This window comes from Homo sapiens, chromosome 1 (assembly GCF_000001405.40).
Source record: "Homo sapiens chromosome 1, GRCh38.p14 Primary Assembly".
Classification (NCBI taxonomy): domain Eukaryota; kingdom Metazoa; phylum Chordata; class Mammalia; order Primates; family Hominidae; genus Homo; species Homo sapiens.
Genome location: NC_000001.11, coordinates 54,497,968 through 54,511,057, shown reverse-complemented (window position 1 = coordinate 54,511,057; position 13,090 = coordinate 54,497,968). Strand labels below are relative to the sequence as shown.

At 52.4% G+C, this 13,090-nt stretch overlaps 3 annotated features.

Moving 5' to 3' along the window:
- Positions 3,300-3,472: a silencer, noted in NCBI's record as "fragment chr1:54973259-54973431 (GRCh37/hg19 assembly coordinates)". NCBI's record gives its function as "represses an EF-1alpha promoter that drives an FKBP-Casp9 reporter gene in an ReSE screen in K562 erythroleukemia cells {active_cell/tissue: K562}" and the evidence as "EXISTENCE:reporter gene assay evidence [ECO:0000049][PMID:32094911]".
- Positions 10,357-10,908: an enhancer, noted in NCBI's record as "H3K4me1 hESC enhancer chr1:54965823-54966374 (GRCh37/hg19 assembly coordinates)". NCBI's record gives its function as "activates a minimal SCP1, AML or CMV promoter by ChIP-STARR-seq in primed H9 embryonic stem cells {active_cell/tissue: H9 hESC(primed)}" and the evidence as "EXISTENCE:reporter gene assay evidence [ECO:0000049][PMID:30033119]".
- Positions 10,909-11,460: an enhancer, noted in NCBI's record as "H3K4me1 hESC enhancer chr1:54965271-54965822 (GRCh37/hg19 assembly coordinates)". NCBI's record gives its function as "activates a minimal SCP1, AML or CMV promoter by ChIP-STARR-seq in primed H9 embryonic stem cells {active_cell/tissue: H9 hESC(primed)}" and the evidence as "EXISTENCE:reporter gene assay evidence [ECO:0000049][PMID:30033119]".

Here is a 13,090-nt window from a genome sequence, read left to right as displayed (position 1 = left end):
GGAGCCCTGGGAAGGTTGCAGGGAAGAATCGGCTGTATTACTAATCAGGCTAGGTTAGTCAATGGGGGGCCTTCTACCTATCCCCAGCTATTGACACAGACTGCAGGACAAGTCCTCTAACCCCAAGAACAGTCAAAAAAGGACAGAATCTGCCCCCCAGAGGCTGCCTGCACTTCACCTGAAGGCCTCTAAGTCAAAGAGAGAGACTCCCAAGTAAGAACTGCCCAGCTAGCAGTTCCACATAATCTGCGAGCACAATGCTTGATTGTTTTATGCCACTAAGTTTTGGGCTAACTTGATACAAAGCACAAAATAACCAGACACCCGTTCTCTCCAAATACACTGCATTTTGTTTTGTTTGTTTTTGTGGGGTTTTTTAGTTTGTTTTTCGGGTTTGGTTTGGTTTGGTTTGGTTTGGTTTGGTTTGGTTTGGTTTGGTTTTTTTGAGGAAAGGTCTCACTCTCACCCAGGCTGGAGTGCAGTGGTACAATCTCGGCTCCCTGCAGCCTTGACCTCCCAGGCTCCAGTGATCCTCCCACCTCAGTAGCTGGGATTACAGGTGCACGCCACCATGCCCAGCTAATTTTTGTATTTTTTGTAGACAGGGTTTCCCCATGTTGCCTGGCTGGTCTCAAACTCCTGACCTCCAGTGATTCGCCCGCCTTACCCTCCCAAAGTGCTGGGTTTGCAGTCATAGTCACCGCGCCTGGCCCCAAATACACCACATTTTAAAGCAGTGATTCTACCCCAAGCTCACCTGCCTCCCTGTGGTTTTATCAATGAAATGTGGAATAAACAAGAGGAGTGGAGAGAGAAGCCGAGAATGTTCATTCCAACATACCTTCAACTATGGGCCGAGAAGGGGAAACAGAGGCAGGAGGAGACACCTCTGCAACACACACCTACATACCTGTGCCTTTTTCCTTTCTACCCTCTGCCCAGCTGGGTAGAGCTCCCCAGTTCCTGCTGCTTTTTTATTTTGAGACAGAGTCTCGCTCTGTTGCCAGGCTGGAGTGCAGTGGTGCGATCTCGGCTCATTGCAACCTCCGCCTCCCAGGTTCAAGCAATTCTCCTGTCTCAGCCTCCCAAGTAGCTGGGACTACAGGCACAAGCCACCATGCCCAGCTAATTTTTGTATTTTTAGTAGAGACGAGGTTTCACCCTGTTGGCCAGGATGATCTCGAGCTCCTGACCTCATGATCTGCCCACCTTGGCCTCCCAAAGGGCTGGGATTACAGGCGTGAGCCACTGCACTCGGCCTTCCTGCTGCTTCTTTATGCAGTTTAGATCTTTCTCCTTCCTCCCCACCACCCAAGAAATCAAGCCAGGAACCTCGAGAAACAGAGCCTTCTTGTCCAGCCTCCACTTTTGGCAACACCAAGAACCAGCAGAAGCTGGGACATTACAGCTTGTTCCTGAGCTTATCTCGAATGAAAATGGCAGGCTACGACCTATGCAACCAGCCTCAGGTGGGTAGGGTAGAAGTGGGTAGATTGCAGGTGGAGGGGAAAATCTCCTATTTCTTGAGTTTGACCACACCTGGAAGGAAAAGCATCAACTATTTTTAACGAAACAGGGAGATTTCTTGCGAGGTTACTGAGATAGCCTACAGAACAGCAGGGATCTTGGCATGAATCTGGATGGTAATTCTGAGAACCCTTGGAACTGGGACATTAACAAAACTTTCAACGATGGTTATGGCTAGGGAATGGGATCATAGAGGACTTATGCTTCCTTCATAGTGTCTGGAGTTCTTTCTTAATAATTATGTATAATCAACAAGGATGACATTTCCATTTAGAAACATAAAAGAGGAGGCTGGGTGTGGTGGCTCACGTCTGTAATCCCAGCACTTTGGGATTACAGTGAGGGTGGATCACTTGAGGTCAGGAGTTTGAGACCAGCCTGGCCAACAAGGTGAAACCCCATCTCTACCAAAAATACAAAAATTAGCCAGGCATGGTGGTACGCACCTGTAGGCCCAGCTACTCAGGAGGATGAGGCATAAGAATCGCTTGAACCTGGAAGGCAGATGTTGCAGTGAGCTGAGATCACGCCACTGCGCTCCAGCCTGGGCGACAGAGCAAGACTCTGCACCCCCCAACAACAAAAAAAAAAAAAAAAAAGAAAAAAGAGGTGTGAGCCAGGCGTGGTGGCTCACCCCTGTAATCCCAGCCCTTTGGGAGGCCAAGGCGGGTAGATCATTTGAGATCAGGAGTTCAAGACCAGCCTGGCCGACATGGTGAAACCTTGTCTCTACTAAAAATACCAAAAAAAAAAAAAAAGGCCTGGCGCGGTGGCTCACGCCTGTAATCCCAGCACTTTGGGAGGCTGAGGTGGGAGGATCACCTGAGGTCAGGAGTTCGAGACCAGCCTCAACATGGAGAAACCCCGTCTCTACTAAAAATACAAAATTAGCCGGGCATGGTGGTGCATGCCTGTAATCCCAGCTACTTGGGAGGCTGAGGCAGGAGAATTGCTTGAACCTGGGAGGTGGAGGTTGCGGTGAGCCGAGATCGCGCCATTGCACTCCAGCCTGGGCAACAAGAGTGAAACTCTGTCTCAAAAAAAAAAAAAAAAGTGCCAGGTGCAGTGGCTCACACCTGTAATCCCAGCACTTTGGGAGGCCAAGGCGGGCAGATCACCTGAGGTCAGGAGTTCAAGACCAGCCTGACCAATATGGTGAAACCCTGTCTCAACTAAAAAATTAGGTGAGTGTAGCACTGGGTGCCTGTAATCCCAGCTACTTGGGAGGCTGAAGCAGGAGAATCGTTTGAACCTGGGAGGCAGAAGTTGTAGTGAGCCGAGATCGTGCCTTTGCACCCCAGCCTAGGTGACAAGAGTGAGACTCTGTCACACACACACACACACACACAAAAAAAAATTAGCCAGGTGGTAGTGGTGTGCACCTGTAATCCCAGCTACTTGAGAGGCTGAAGCGGGAGAATCGCTTGAGTCTGGGAGGCAGAGGTTACGGTAAGCCAAGATCACACCACTGTACTCCAGTCTGGGCAACAGAGTAAGATCCTGTCTCAAAAAAAAAGAAAAAAGAATTCTAAGAGGTCTGAAGCAAGGGGGCATGCCTGGAGCCCCACGACCTCTGCCCTCCCTCAGCACCCCCACCCAGGACACCCCTACTACATGATTTCTCGAAATCATCCAGCCCAGACTTACTATCAGACACTATGGAGTCTAGACCTGTAGAGGGTGCACCTCAGGGCCCACCAGCGCCCCCATAAAGAGAGACCTGGTCCCCACTGCTGGTCTGCCTGCTGACAAATGATGTTGACTGTCCCCCGCCCCCAGCTGTGACTCCCAGGCCCATCTATCAGCCACCCAGCCAGCGCGATTGGAGTTTAATTATGTCATGACAGGAGTGATTACAATTGTTAATTACCTTCCAGCCATCAGCAGCTTCTGCGGGTCCTCTGCCATGTGACAGCTGCCACGCCCACCCTGTGCCTGCACATACTACTCCTGGCCTCGTCAACCACCCAGCCGTGCTGCCAAATGCCCTGGGACACAGCAATGGGCATTTCTGTGAGCATCTCCCCAAGACCCTGGCACTCTGAAGGCCTGAGTGTTCTCCCCCTGGTTTAATGTATAGAACCCATGCCATCAGCGTCCTGAAGGGAAACACCGACCACATCACTTTCTGCTCACAGTCAGTGGCTCCCCACTGCCACAGCATAGGCCAGACGTGGTAGTGCACACCTGTAGTCCCAGCTACTCAGGAGACTGAGGTGGGAGAATTCTGAACTTCAAGACTATACTGCACTATGATTGTGCCTATGAATAGCCACTGCATTCTAGCCTGGGCAATGTAGTGAGACCCCATCTCTCAAAAATGAAATAATGTTCCATGAGGAGCATCCACAGAGGAAGGTCCCTACCTTCCTCCAGTCTTGTCTCCATCGCTCCGCTCCACACACCCCGCAATAGAACTGCCTGCGTCCCCAGCCGTGCCTCAAATGTTCCCAGCTCCGTTCCTTGGCCTGTGCCATTCCTCCACCTGGAAAGCCCTTCACCCCAGTTCCATGCTTTCAACTTCTACCTGTTCTTCCAGGCCTGCATCAAAACTCTGTGGAATATGGCCCAGACCCTCGGTCCCACCCCCGACTGACTTTGGCCCCCTTGGGTCTCCTGTGGCGCTTCCTCTGACCCTCCTTTCTCTCACACCAACCCTGTCCTGTCTCCCCCACGGCAGTGAACTCCTGGGCTGAAGCCCCAGCCCAGGGCCTAGTGTGCAGCAAGTGCTCAGAATGAGTGGATGAATGAGTCAGAGCAGGCCCGGGTGGGGGAAGCAAAAATGTCCCAGAGTGGAGGCAGGGTGGCCACTGCTTCCTCCTCAGGGGAACTCTGTGCCCCCAAACACCATGTTACACAGGAGGAGCAGCTTTCTTGCTGTGTCCCCACTGGCCCCTCCAGCCCTCCTTCACCCTAACTGAGCCATCAAAACTGCGAACTAGCAAAACTGCAAGCTGAATTCTGCTACTCCTTGGCTTAAAACTCTCCTCACCTCAGAAATTCCTTAGTTTGGTGCCCAGGCTCTTCATGTCCATGGTGGGTACTTGCAGAGCTGCCTGATCAGCTCACCACCACCCCTCTCCTGTGTACCCCACACACCCTCCCCCATCACAGAGGATTCAGATGGACCCTGGTCCACACTCTGCCAATCAGACTATCTCTCTTACCCTGGGAATAAAGCTTCCAAGATGTGGAATGTGTGTAAATGCTGTAGGGGAGATTATGGTCCCCTCGGAGCCCAGAAAATACAGAGGAAACTGGGCTGCAGAGAGGCAAATAAAAGGGCCGAGCATGAAGAAGGGAAAGAAAGAGGGGCACCAGCTGGCCTCAGCGGCTCATGCCTGTAATCCCAGCGTTTTGGGAGGCTGAAGCAGCCAGATCATGAGGTCAGGAGTTCGAGACCAGCCTGGCCAATATGGTGAAACCCCATCTCTACTAAAAATACAAAAATTAGCTGGGCATGGTGGCAGGCACCTGTAGTCCCAGCTGCTCGGGAGGCTGAGGCAGGAAAATCGCTTGAACCCGGACGCGGAGGTTGCAGTGAGCCGAGATCACGCCACTGCACTCTAGTCTGGGCGACAGAGCGAGACTCCGTCTCAAAATAAAGAAAGAAAGAAAAGAAAGAGGGGCACCGAGAGACAAAACACATTCAGGTGGCTCTGCCAGCCTACCCTATGCCTTCTCCAGACCTGGTTCCCCTGGATCCGGGAGGCTCTTGTCTCCTTTAAACATTGTTTGTTTGTTTGTTTCTTTCTTTCTTTCTTTCTTTCTCCCTCTTTCTTTCTCTCTCTCTCTCTCTTTCTTTCTCTTTCTTTCACAGAGTCTCACTCTGTCACCCAGGCTGGAGTGCAGTGGCGCAATCTTGGCTCACTGCAATCTCCACCTCGCAGGTTCAACTGATTATCCTGCCTCAGACTCCTGAGTAGCTGAGACTACAGGCATGTGCCACCACGGCTGGCAATTTTTTTTTTTTTTTAGACGGAGTTTCTCCCATCACCCAGGCTGGAGTCCAGTGGTGTGATCTTAGCTCACTGCACCCTCCGCCTCCTGGGTTCAAGCGATTCTCCTGCCTCGGCCTCCCAAAGTAGCTGGGACTACAGATGCCTGCCACCACGCTCAGCTAATTTTTTGTATTTTTAGTAGAGATGAGGTTTAGCCATGTTGACCAGGCTGGTCTCGAACTCCTGACCTCAGGTGATCCACCCGCCTCGGCCTCCCAAAGTGCTGGGATTACAGGTGTGAGCCACTGTGCCCGGCTTTCTTTCTTTCTATTTTTATTTCCCCCCAAGACGGAGTCCTGCTCTGTCACCCAGGCTGGAGTGCAGTGGCGCGATCTCGGCTCACTGCAACCTCTGCCTCCTGGGTTCAAGCAATTCTCCTGCCTCAGCTTCCTAAATAGCCAGGACTACAGGCGTGTGCCACCATGGCTGGCAATTTTTTTTTTTTTTTAGACGGAGTTTCTCTCTTGTCACCCAGACTGGAGTGCAGTGGCGTGATTTCAGCTCACTGCACCCTCCGTCTCCCGGGTTCAAGCCATTCTCCTGCCTCAGCCTCCCAGAGTAGCTGGGACTACAGGTGCCTGCCACCACGCTCAGCTAATTTTTTTGTATTTTTAGTAGAGATGAGGTTCCACCATGTTGACCAGGCTGGTCTCAAACTCCTGGCCTCAGGTGATCCACCCGCCTCAGCCTCCCAAAGTGCTGGAATTACAGGCATGAGCCACCGTGCCCAGCTTTCTTTCTGTTTTTTTTTTTTTTTCCCCAAGAAAAGAGTCTTGCTCTGTCGCCCAGGCTGGGGTGCAGTGGCGTGATCTTGGCTCACTGCAACCTCCACCTCCCGGGTTCAAGCAATTCTCCTGCCTCACCCTCCCAAGTAGCTGGGATTACAGGCACCCGCCACCATGCTCGGCTAATTTTTGTATTCTTAGTAGAGACGGGGGTTTCACCATGTTGGCCAGGCTGGTCTCGAACTCTTCACCTCGTAATCCGCCCACCTCAGCCTTCCAAAGTGCTGGAATTACAGGTGTGAGCCACCGTGCCCAGCTTGGCTTTCTGGTTTTTTGTTTTTGTTTTTGTTTTAGGTGGAGTTTTGCTCTGTAGCCAGGCTGGAGTGCAGTGGCGCAATCTCGGCTCACTGCAACCTCTGCCTCCCGGGTTTGAGCGATTCTCCTGTCTCAGCCTCCCGAGTAGCTGGGACTACAGGCGTGCGCTACCGTGCCCAGCTAATTTTTGTATTTTTAGTAGAGACGGGCTTTCGCCATGTTAGCCAGAATGTTCTCGGTCTCTTGACCTCGTGATCCACCTGCCTCGGCCTCCCAAAGTGCTGGGATTACAGGTGTGAGCCACCAAACCCAGCCTCTTTTTTTTTTTTAAACAGAGTCTAGCTCTGTCACCCAGGCTGGAGTGCAGTGGTGTGATCTCAGCTCACTGCAACCTTCGCCTCCCTGGTTCAAGTGATTCTCCTGCCTCGATAGGGTTTTGTCATGTTGGTCAGACTGGCCTCAAACTCCTGGCCTCAAGTGATCAGCCCACCTGGGCCTCCCAAAGTGCTGGGATTACAGGCATGAGCCACAGCACCTAGCCTTTCTTTCTTTTTTTCTTTCTTTCTTCCTTTCTTCCTTCCTCCCTTCTCCCTTCCTTCTCCCTCCCTCCTTCCTTCCTTCCTTTTGTTACAGGAAAGGAGCCCCCATCCAGACCCCAATAGAGGGTTCTTGGATCTCGTGCAAGAAATTATTCGGGGCAAGTCCTCAGTGCAAAGTGAAAGCAAGTTTATTAAGAAAGTAAAGGAATAAAAGAATGGCAGCCGGGTGCGGTGGCTCATGCCTGTAATGCCAGCACTTTGGGAGACCGAAGCTGGCAGATCACCTGAGGTTGAGAGTTCAAGACCAGCCTGACCAACAGGGAGAAACCCTGTCTCTACTAAAAATACAAAATTAGCCGTGTGTGGTGGTGCATGCCTGTAATCCCAGCTACTTGTGAAGCTGAGGCAGGAGAAATCACTTGAACCCAGTAGGCGGAGGTTGTAGTGAGCCAAGATCACGCTATTGCACTCCAGCCTGGGCAACAAGAGTAAAATTCTGTCTCAAAAAAAAAAAAAAGACTACTCCATAGACAGACAGAGCAGCCCAGAGGGCTGCTAGTTGCCCATTTTTATGGTTATTTCTTGATGATATGCTAAAAAGGGGTGGATTATTCATGCCTCCCCTTTTCAGACCATATAGGGTAACTTCCTGACGTTGCCATTGCATCTGTAAACTGTCATGGCGCTGGTGGGAATGTAGCGGTGAAGATGACCAGAGGTCAGTCTCGTGGCCATTTTGGTTTTGCTGAATTTTGGCTGGCTCCTTTACTGCAACCTGTTTTATCAGCAAGGTCTTTATGACCTGTATTTTGTGCCGACCTCCTGTTTCATCCTGTGACTTACAGTGCCTTAACCGTCTGGGAATGCAGCCCAGTAGGTCTCAGCCTCATTTTACCCAGCTCCTGTTTAAGACAGAGTTGCTCTGGTTCACACGCCTCTGACACTTTCTTCCTTCCTTTCTTTTCTTTCCTTTTCTTTCTTAGACAAGGTTTTGCTCTCACGCAGGCTGGAGTGCAATGGCACAATCATAGCTCCCTGCAGCCTGGAATTCCTGGGCTCAAGCAAGCCTCAGTCACCTGTAGTCTCTGGGACTAGAGGGGTGAGCCACCATGCCTGGCCAGTTAAGCTGATTTCTGTTAAATGTGTAACAAAATGGAGGAAATTTTGTTCTCCCAGACATGTCTAGTTTGGAAGAAACACCGTATGTATCTGGAAGAAATACTTTGAAAAGCCATTTGGAGTGTGGTGGGGATGTGGGGGAACAAGTTCCAAGGTCTTGTCCACATTCCACAAAGTGGGGAGGCTGCCTTCTGAGAGGCAGACGGGAGCACCATGCTGCTTCTAACAATAGTCTGGAGTGGGGACTCCTGAAAACCAACCATCTCAGTTTCAACCACACCCCTGCCACTTATTGACTGTGCTTGGAGACTGGGCTGGTTATTTCTGGTGTTGGTTTCCTCATCTGTAAAGTGGGGATGATGATAATTGTACCCACCTCACGGGGCTGTGGTAAGGATTCACTTGAGTTAATATAAGGGAAGTACTTAGTGCCTGTTAACTAGCAAACACCCAAGTGTTAGCAACGTCAGAAAACGACGCTGTTGACATAAAATCCCTGTTAACTGGAGTGCTGGGGGAAACTGAGGCATGCAAGTCTGAAGCCAGGAGCTGAGGCACAGGTGAAGTTGAGAAAAAAGAGATCGAAAGCAGAATATTCCCCCTACTATGTTTCAGGGCACGTTCTGGGTACCAGGCAGCAGAGTTTCAATCCTAGAGGGAAACAGGCAATAAATAAGGAATCTTCAGACGATGCCACAAAGACAGCAGATGCTGGTAATGTGATGGAGGCTGGCTGGAGGCTTTTCTGGATCAGGCGGTCAGGGAAGGCCTCCCGGAGGAGGTGGCTAAGAGAGGACTAAATGCCTAAAGGCACCAGCCATGCAGAGGGAAGCCACAAGGAGGGACCAAAGGCTGGTGAGGGAGGCAGGAGAGAAAGGGCCCAGCAAGGCAGGGAGTGGTGTGTGAAGTCGGGGGAGCCACCCCAGGACAGGCAGCTGAGCAGAGGAATGGGAGAACAAAAAAACAAAGGTGGCTCTTTTTAGGTTCTTTGCTGTAGGGCATGAACAGAAATGGCCTTGTCCATCTTTGCTTTAATCTTCAGTTCATCCCACTTGCTCATTAATGCTTTTGGGTGGCTCAGTTCTCTTGTGGGAAAGGAGTCAGGGAAGTTCAGTGAGGAACAAAAACCGAAGAACAGACATGGGTACACAGTGGGGTCCCGGGCAGGTCCCTGCAAGCCCATCTGACTCCAATCTTAGCCCTTCCTGAAAAGATTCCACAAAAGTCCATATTCATCCAGGGGCCAAGACTGGTTAGCCCTCTGCAAGGAAGAAGCTGAGAGAAGTCACTTTTGTCCTGAGGGCCTGCTGAAGGCCAGGAGTCTCCCTCAGTGGCCTCCAGTGAGGAGTCGGGGGAGCACTGGTTTGGGAGTCAGTTGAGCAGACAGTGTTTCAGTCTTGCTCTGCCGCTTATATCGTGGGTGCTTGGGCAAGGCACTCAACCACCCTGCCCTATACCATAGAGTGACAGTTCCTGGGTAGGGTGAGTGGACCTTGGCACTGTGTAATGGGGTATGAATCCCAAGAGGCCCATAGTCAACCTACTGTCCTTCCTGGGGGATGGGGTCAGTGGGACGGTCGGTATCTTCTCCATTGAGAAAAGCAGTGACAGCTACCCCTTGCTGAGCACCTTCTAGGTGTCAGCCACGTGCTAAAGAAAACGCAGCAATAAAGACTAGAAAACACAGGCCGGGCACAGTGGCTCTCACCTGTAATCCCAGCACTTTGGGAGGCCAAGGCAGGTGGATCACCTGAGGTCAGGAGTTCAAGACCAGTCTGACCAATATGGTGAAACCTGTCTCTACTAAAAATATAAAAATTAGCCGGGCATGGTGGCATGCGCCTGTAGTCCCAGCTGCTTGGGATACTGAGACAGGAGAATTGCTTGAACCCGGGAGGCGGAGGCCGCAGTGAGCCGAGATTGTACCACTGCACTCCAGCCTGGGCAACAGAGCCAGACTCGTTTCCAAAAAAAAAAAAAAAAATTACTAAAAACACAAGAAAGAGCACTGGCCAGGCGTGGTGGCTCGGTGCCTGTAATCCCAGCACTTTGGGAGGCCAAGTCGGGTGGTCACCTGAGGTCAGGAGTTCAAGACTAGCCTGGCCAACATGATGAAACCCCGTCTCTACTAAAAATACAAAAAATTACCGGGCATGGTGGTGTGCACTTGTAATCCCAGCTACTCAGGAGGCTGAGGAAGGAGAATCGCTTGAACCCAGGAGGCAGAGGTTGCAGTGAGCCGAGAATCACGCCACTGCATTCTAGCCTGGGCAAAAAAAACTAAACTCCGTCTCAAAAAAAAAAAAAAAAAAAAAAAAAAAGAACGAGCACCAAGCGCAATAGTTCTACTACCGAGCAGGTCCCCCAATCCACCAGCAAGTCCAGGCTCTGGGGGATGTGAATTTGTTGAGGAAAAATGAAGTTAGTCTTTTAAAGCCCAAATACCACGTACTGTCCCTGCCCGGCGTGAAAAAAGCAAAGCCTCTGAAGTGGGGCTTGTCAACAGGTAAGGGCTGTAGGCGCAGGCTGCCTGTGTCGGGATATTATGGTGCCCAGGTGTCCCTGCTGTGCACACCGCTCCCCCGCCCCCGCTCCCCGAGCCAGGGCGGAGTTATGCACCCAGCAGGTCCACCCCAACCAACATGAACAGGGTTATCACTGTGCAGAACACCACATACATTATCACAGATCCCCACAACAACCCCACCAAATGGGAAACTGAGGCCCAGAGATTTCCCGGAGCTCACAGGTGGCTGGGCTCGGATTGGAACCTAGATCTGTCTGGCTGCAAAGGACCTAACTGACGCCTGAAGCCACAGAAATGCCAGCTCTGGGGAGATAACAAGCAGGCGGCAGGCAGGCTGAGCTCGGCATCCTCACAAGCTGAGGGATCGGGGAGCAGGGGAGGAGGGGGCGGAAAGGACCAGGCCAGGATGCCGGCGGGGTCCCTCTCAGGCCCCCTGAGGTTGGTAGGAAGCTGGCAGGATGGCACAGGGGTAAGTGTGGGGTTCGCTCCTAGGCTGTAGCGCGGAGGGACAGGCCTCCCGCCTCCCCTCACAAGCTCCCCACCAGGGGTGATTTTTCTACCCAGACCTTGCAACCCCAACCCTCCCCGGGCGACCAGGCGCCCCCAGCCTCCCGCAGACGCCCGCCCGCCGACCCTGCTCCCTCCTGGAGCAGCCGGAAGCCGCAGTCGCTCTGCAGACACCCCCTGGTGGAAACAGCTCATTACGGGATGGAGAAAATGTGCTAGAACATTAGCTTAATAAATCAAGCGCTCCCGGAGCCCGGCAGCCGCCGCCGCTCGGCGAGGCGGGGCCGCGGCGCCCACCCGCACTGGGCCTATGGCAGGGGCGGGGGCGGGGTTGGGGGTGCAGGTCCAGAACGCCTGCCTCCCTCTTGCCCTGCGGAGCCACGCTTTGCACCCCCATCCCGCCGCCGCCTTCGTCCCCCACCTCCTCGATCCGAGCCGAGTTGCCCGTATGGAGAGAAGCCTTGGGAGCCCCAGGACGCCAGGGGTTTGAATCCTGGCATTGCCACTTGCTAGATTGCGACCTAGAACCGGGGTCTCCTCGGAGCCTCGGTACCTTCATCTCCACGATGAACCAATAACACACACTGTTGACTGAGGGCCAACTAAGTGCCGGTGCCCTCCCTGACTCATTGCAGCCCGGTAAGATCCAAAGTGCCATCTCCATTTTTCACAATGATGAGTCTTGGAGCCTGTGGCCAATTATTTTTCAGTCCTGGTACCCTCTGCCCATGGTCAGTACCAAGCTGGCTGCCCCCACCTGTGCCCCTAGAGGGTGTTCTGTGAGAAAAAAAGACCTGTTCACAGCCAGGTCCTGCAGGGCAGCTGGATGTGCAGAGCAACAGGCTGGCCCCTACCAACTCCACTGACTCCTAGCCAAGGAAACCCCAACCAACTGCTGTGGCAAAAGGGCTGCCTTCTGCACAGGACTCAGGAGCCCCAGGTTCTCTGTCACTGGCCAGACCTTGTGTCTCTGCAGGACACTGAACGCTTCCCAGTCCCTGCTCCCTGACTTCCTGGGGCAGTGCAAGAGCTGGCCTAGGTGGCCTTTCCCTTCTAGTCCCAAACAAATTCTAACCTCCTGAGTGCCTGATGCAAGTCTCGCTCCTCCCTAGGCCTCAGTTTCCTCCTCTGTACAAGGCTTAGCCCTGGAGGAGCCTAAGGAGGCTCTTGCCTGCCGTTCTACTCTCCTTCCTGCTGGTCTAGGTGGGGGAGGGGGTGCAACCACCAGAGCTCCTTAAGCAGGGAAAACCACTGTCTAGAGAGCTAATTCTTCCTGCTCCCTGGGGGGTGGAGAGAGGGCGAGAGAGAAAAAAAAAATTCAATTACTGGACATCTATTTGTCAACTCCTCCCTCCCCATTGACTTAATTTTCTCTAGCCAGACCCAGAGTCAGAGGAGGCAGGAGGAGTGAGCTGCAGGCCCAGAGAGGAAGGGAGAAAAGAGAGCAGGAGAAGGAATAGGGAGGGAGAGCCCCCAATGGACATGGGGACATGGGGACCAGCCTGTTGGACACACACCACGCTGGGAAGTGTCATGTGGGCCATAAACAAACAAGCAGCACCTAGAGAACAGGAACAGATATTCCTGTGTGCTTCTCCTACCCAGGACTTGGAGCAGCACCACTTTCTCCAGGAAGCCTCCCTGGATCTTTCCAGCAAGTTGGGAGCCCCCTCTGGCTCCCAGAGCCCCCTTGGTTCCCCCTAACACCATATGATATAGTCTGTTCACTTTCATTCATTTATACAACACATATTTGTGGAGCACCTAGTATGTTTCAAACTAAGTGCTAGAAATAGAGTGGAAAACAGTAACCGGAGTCTACCAGGAAAG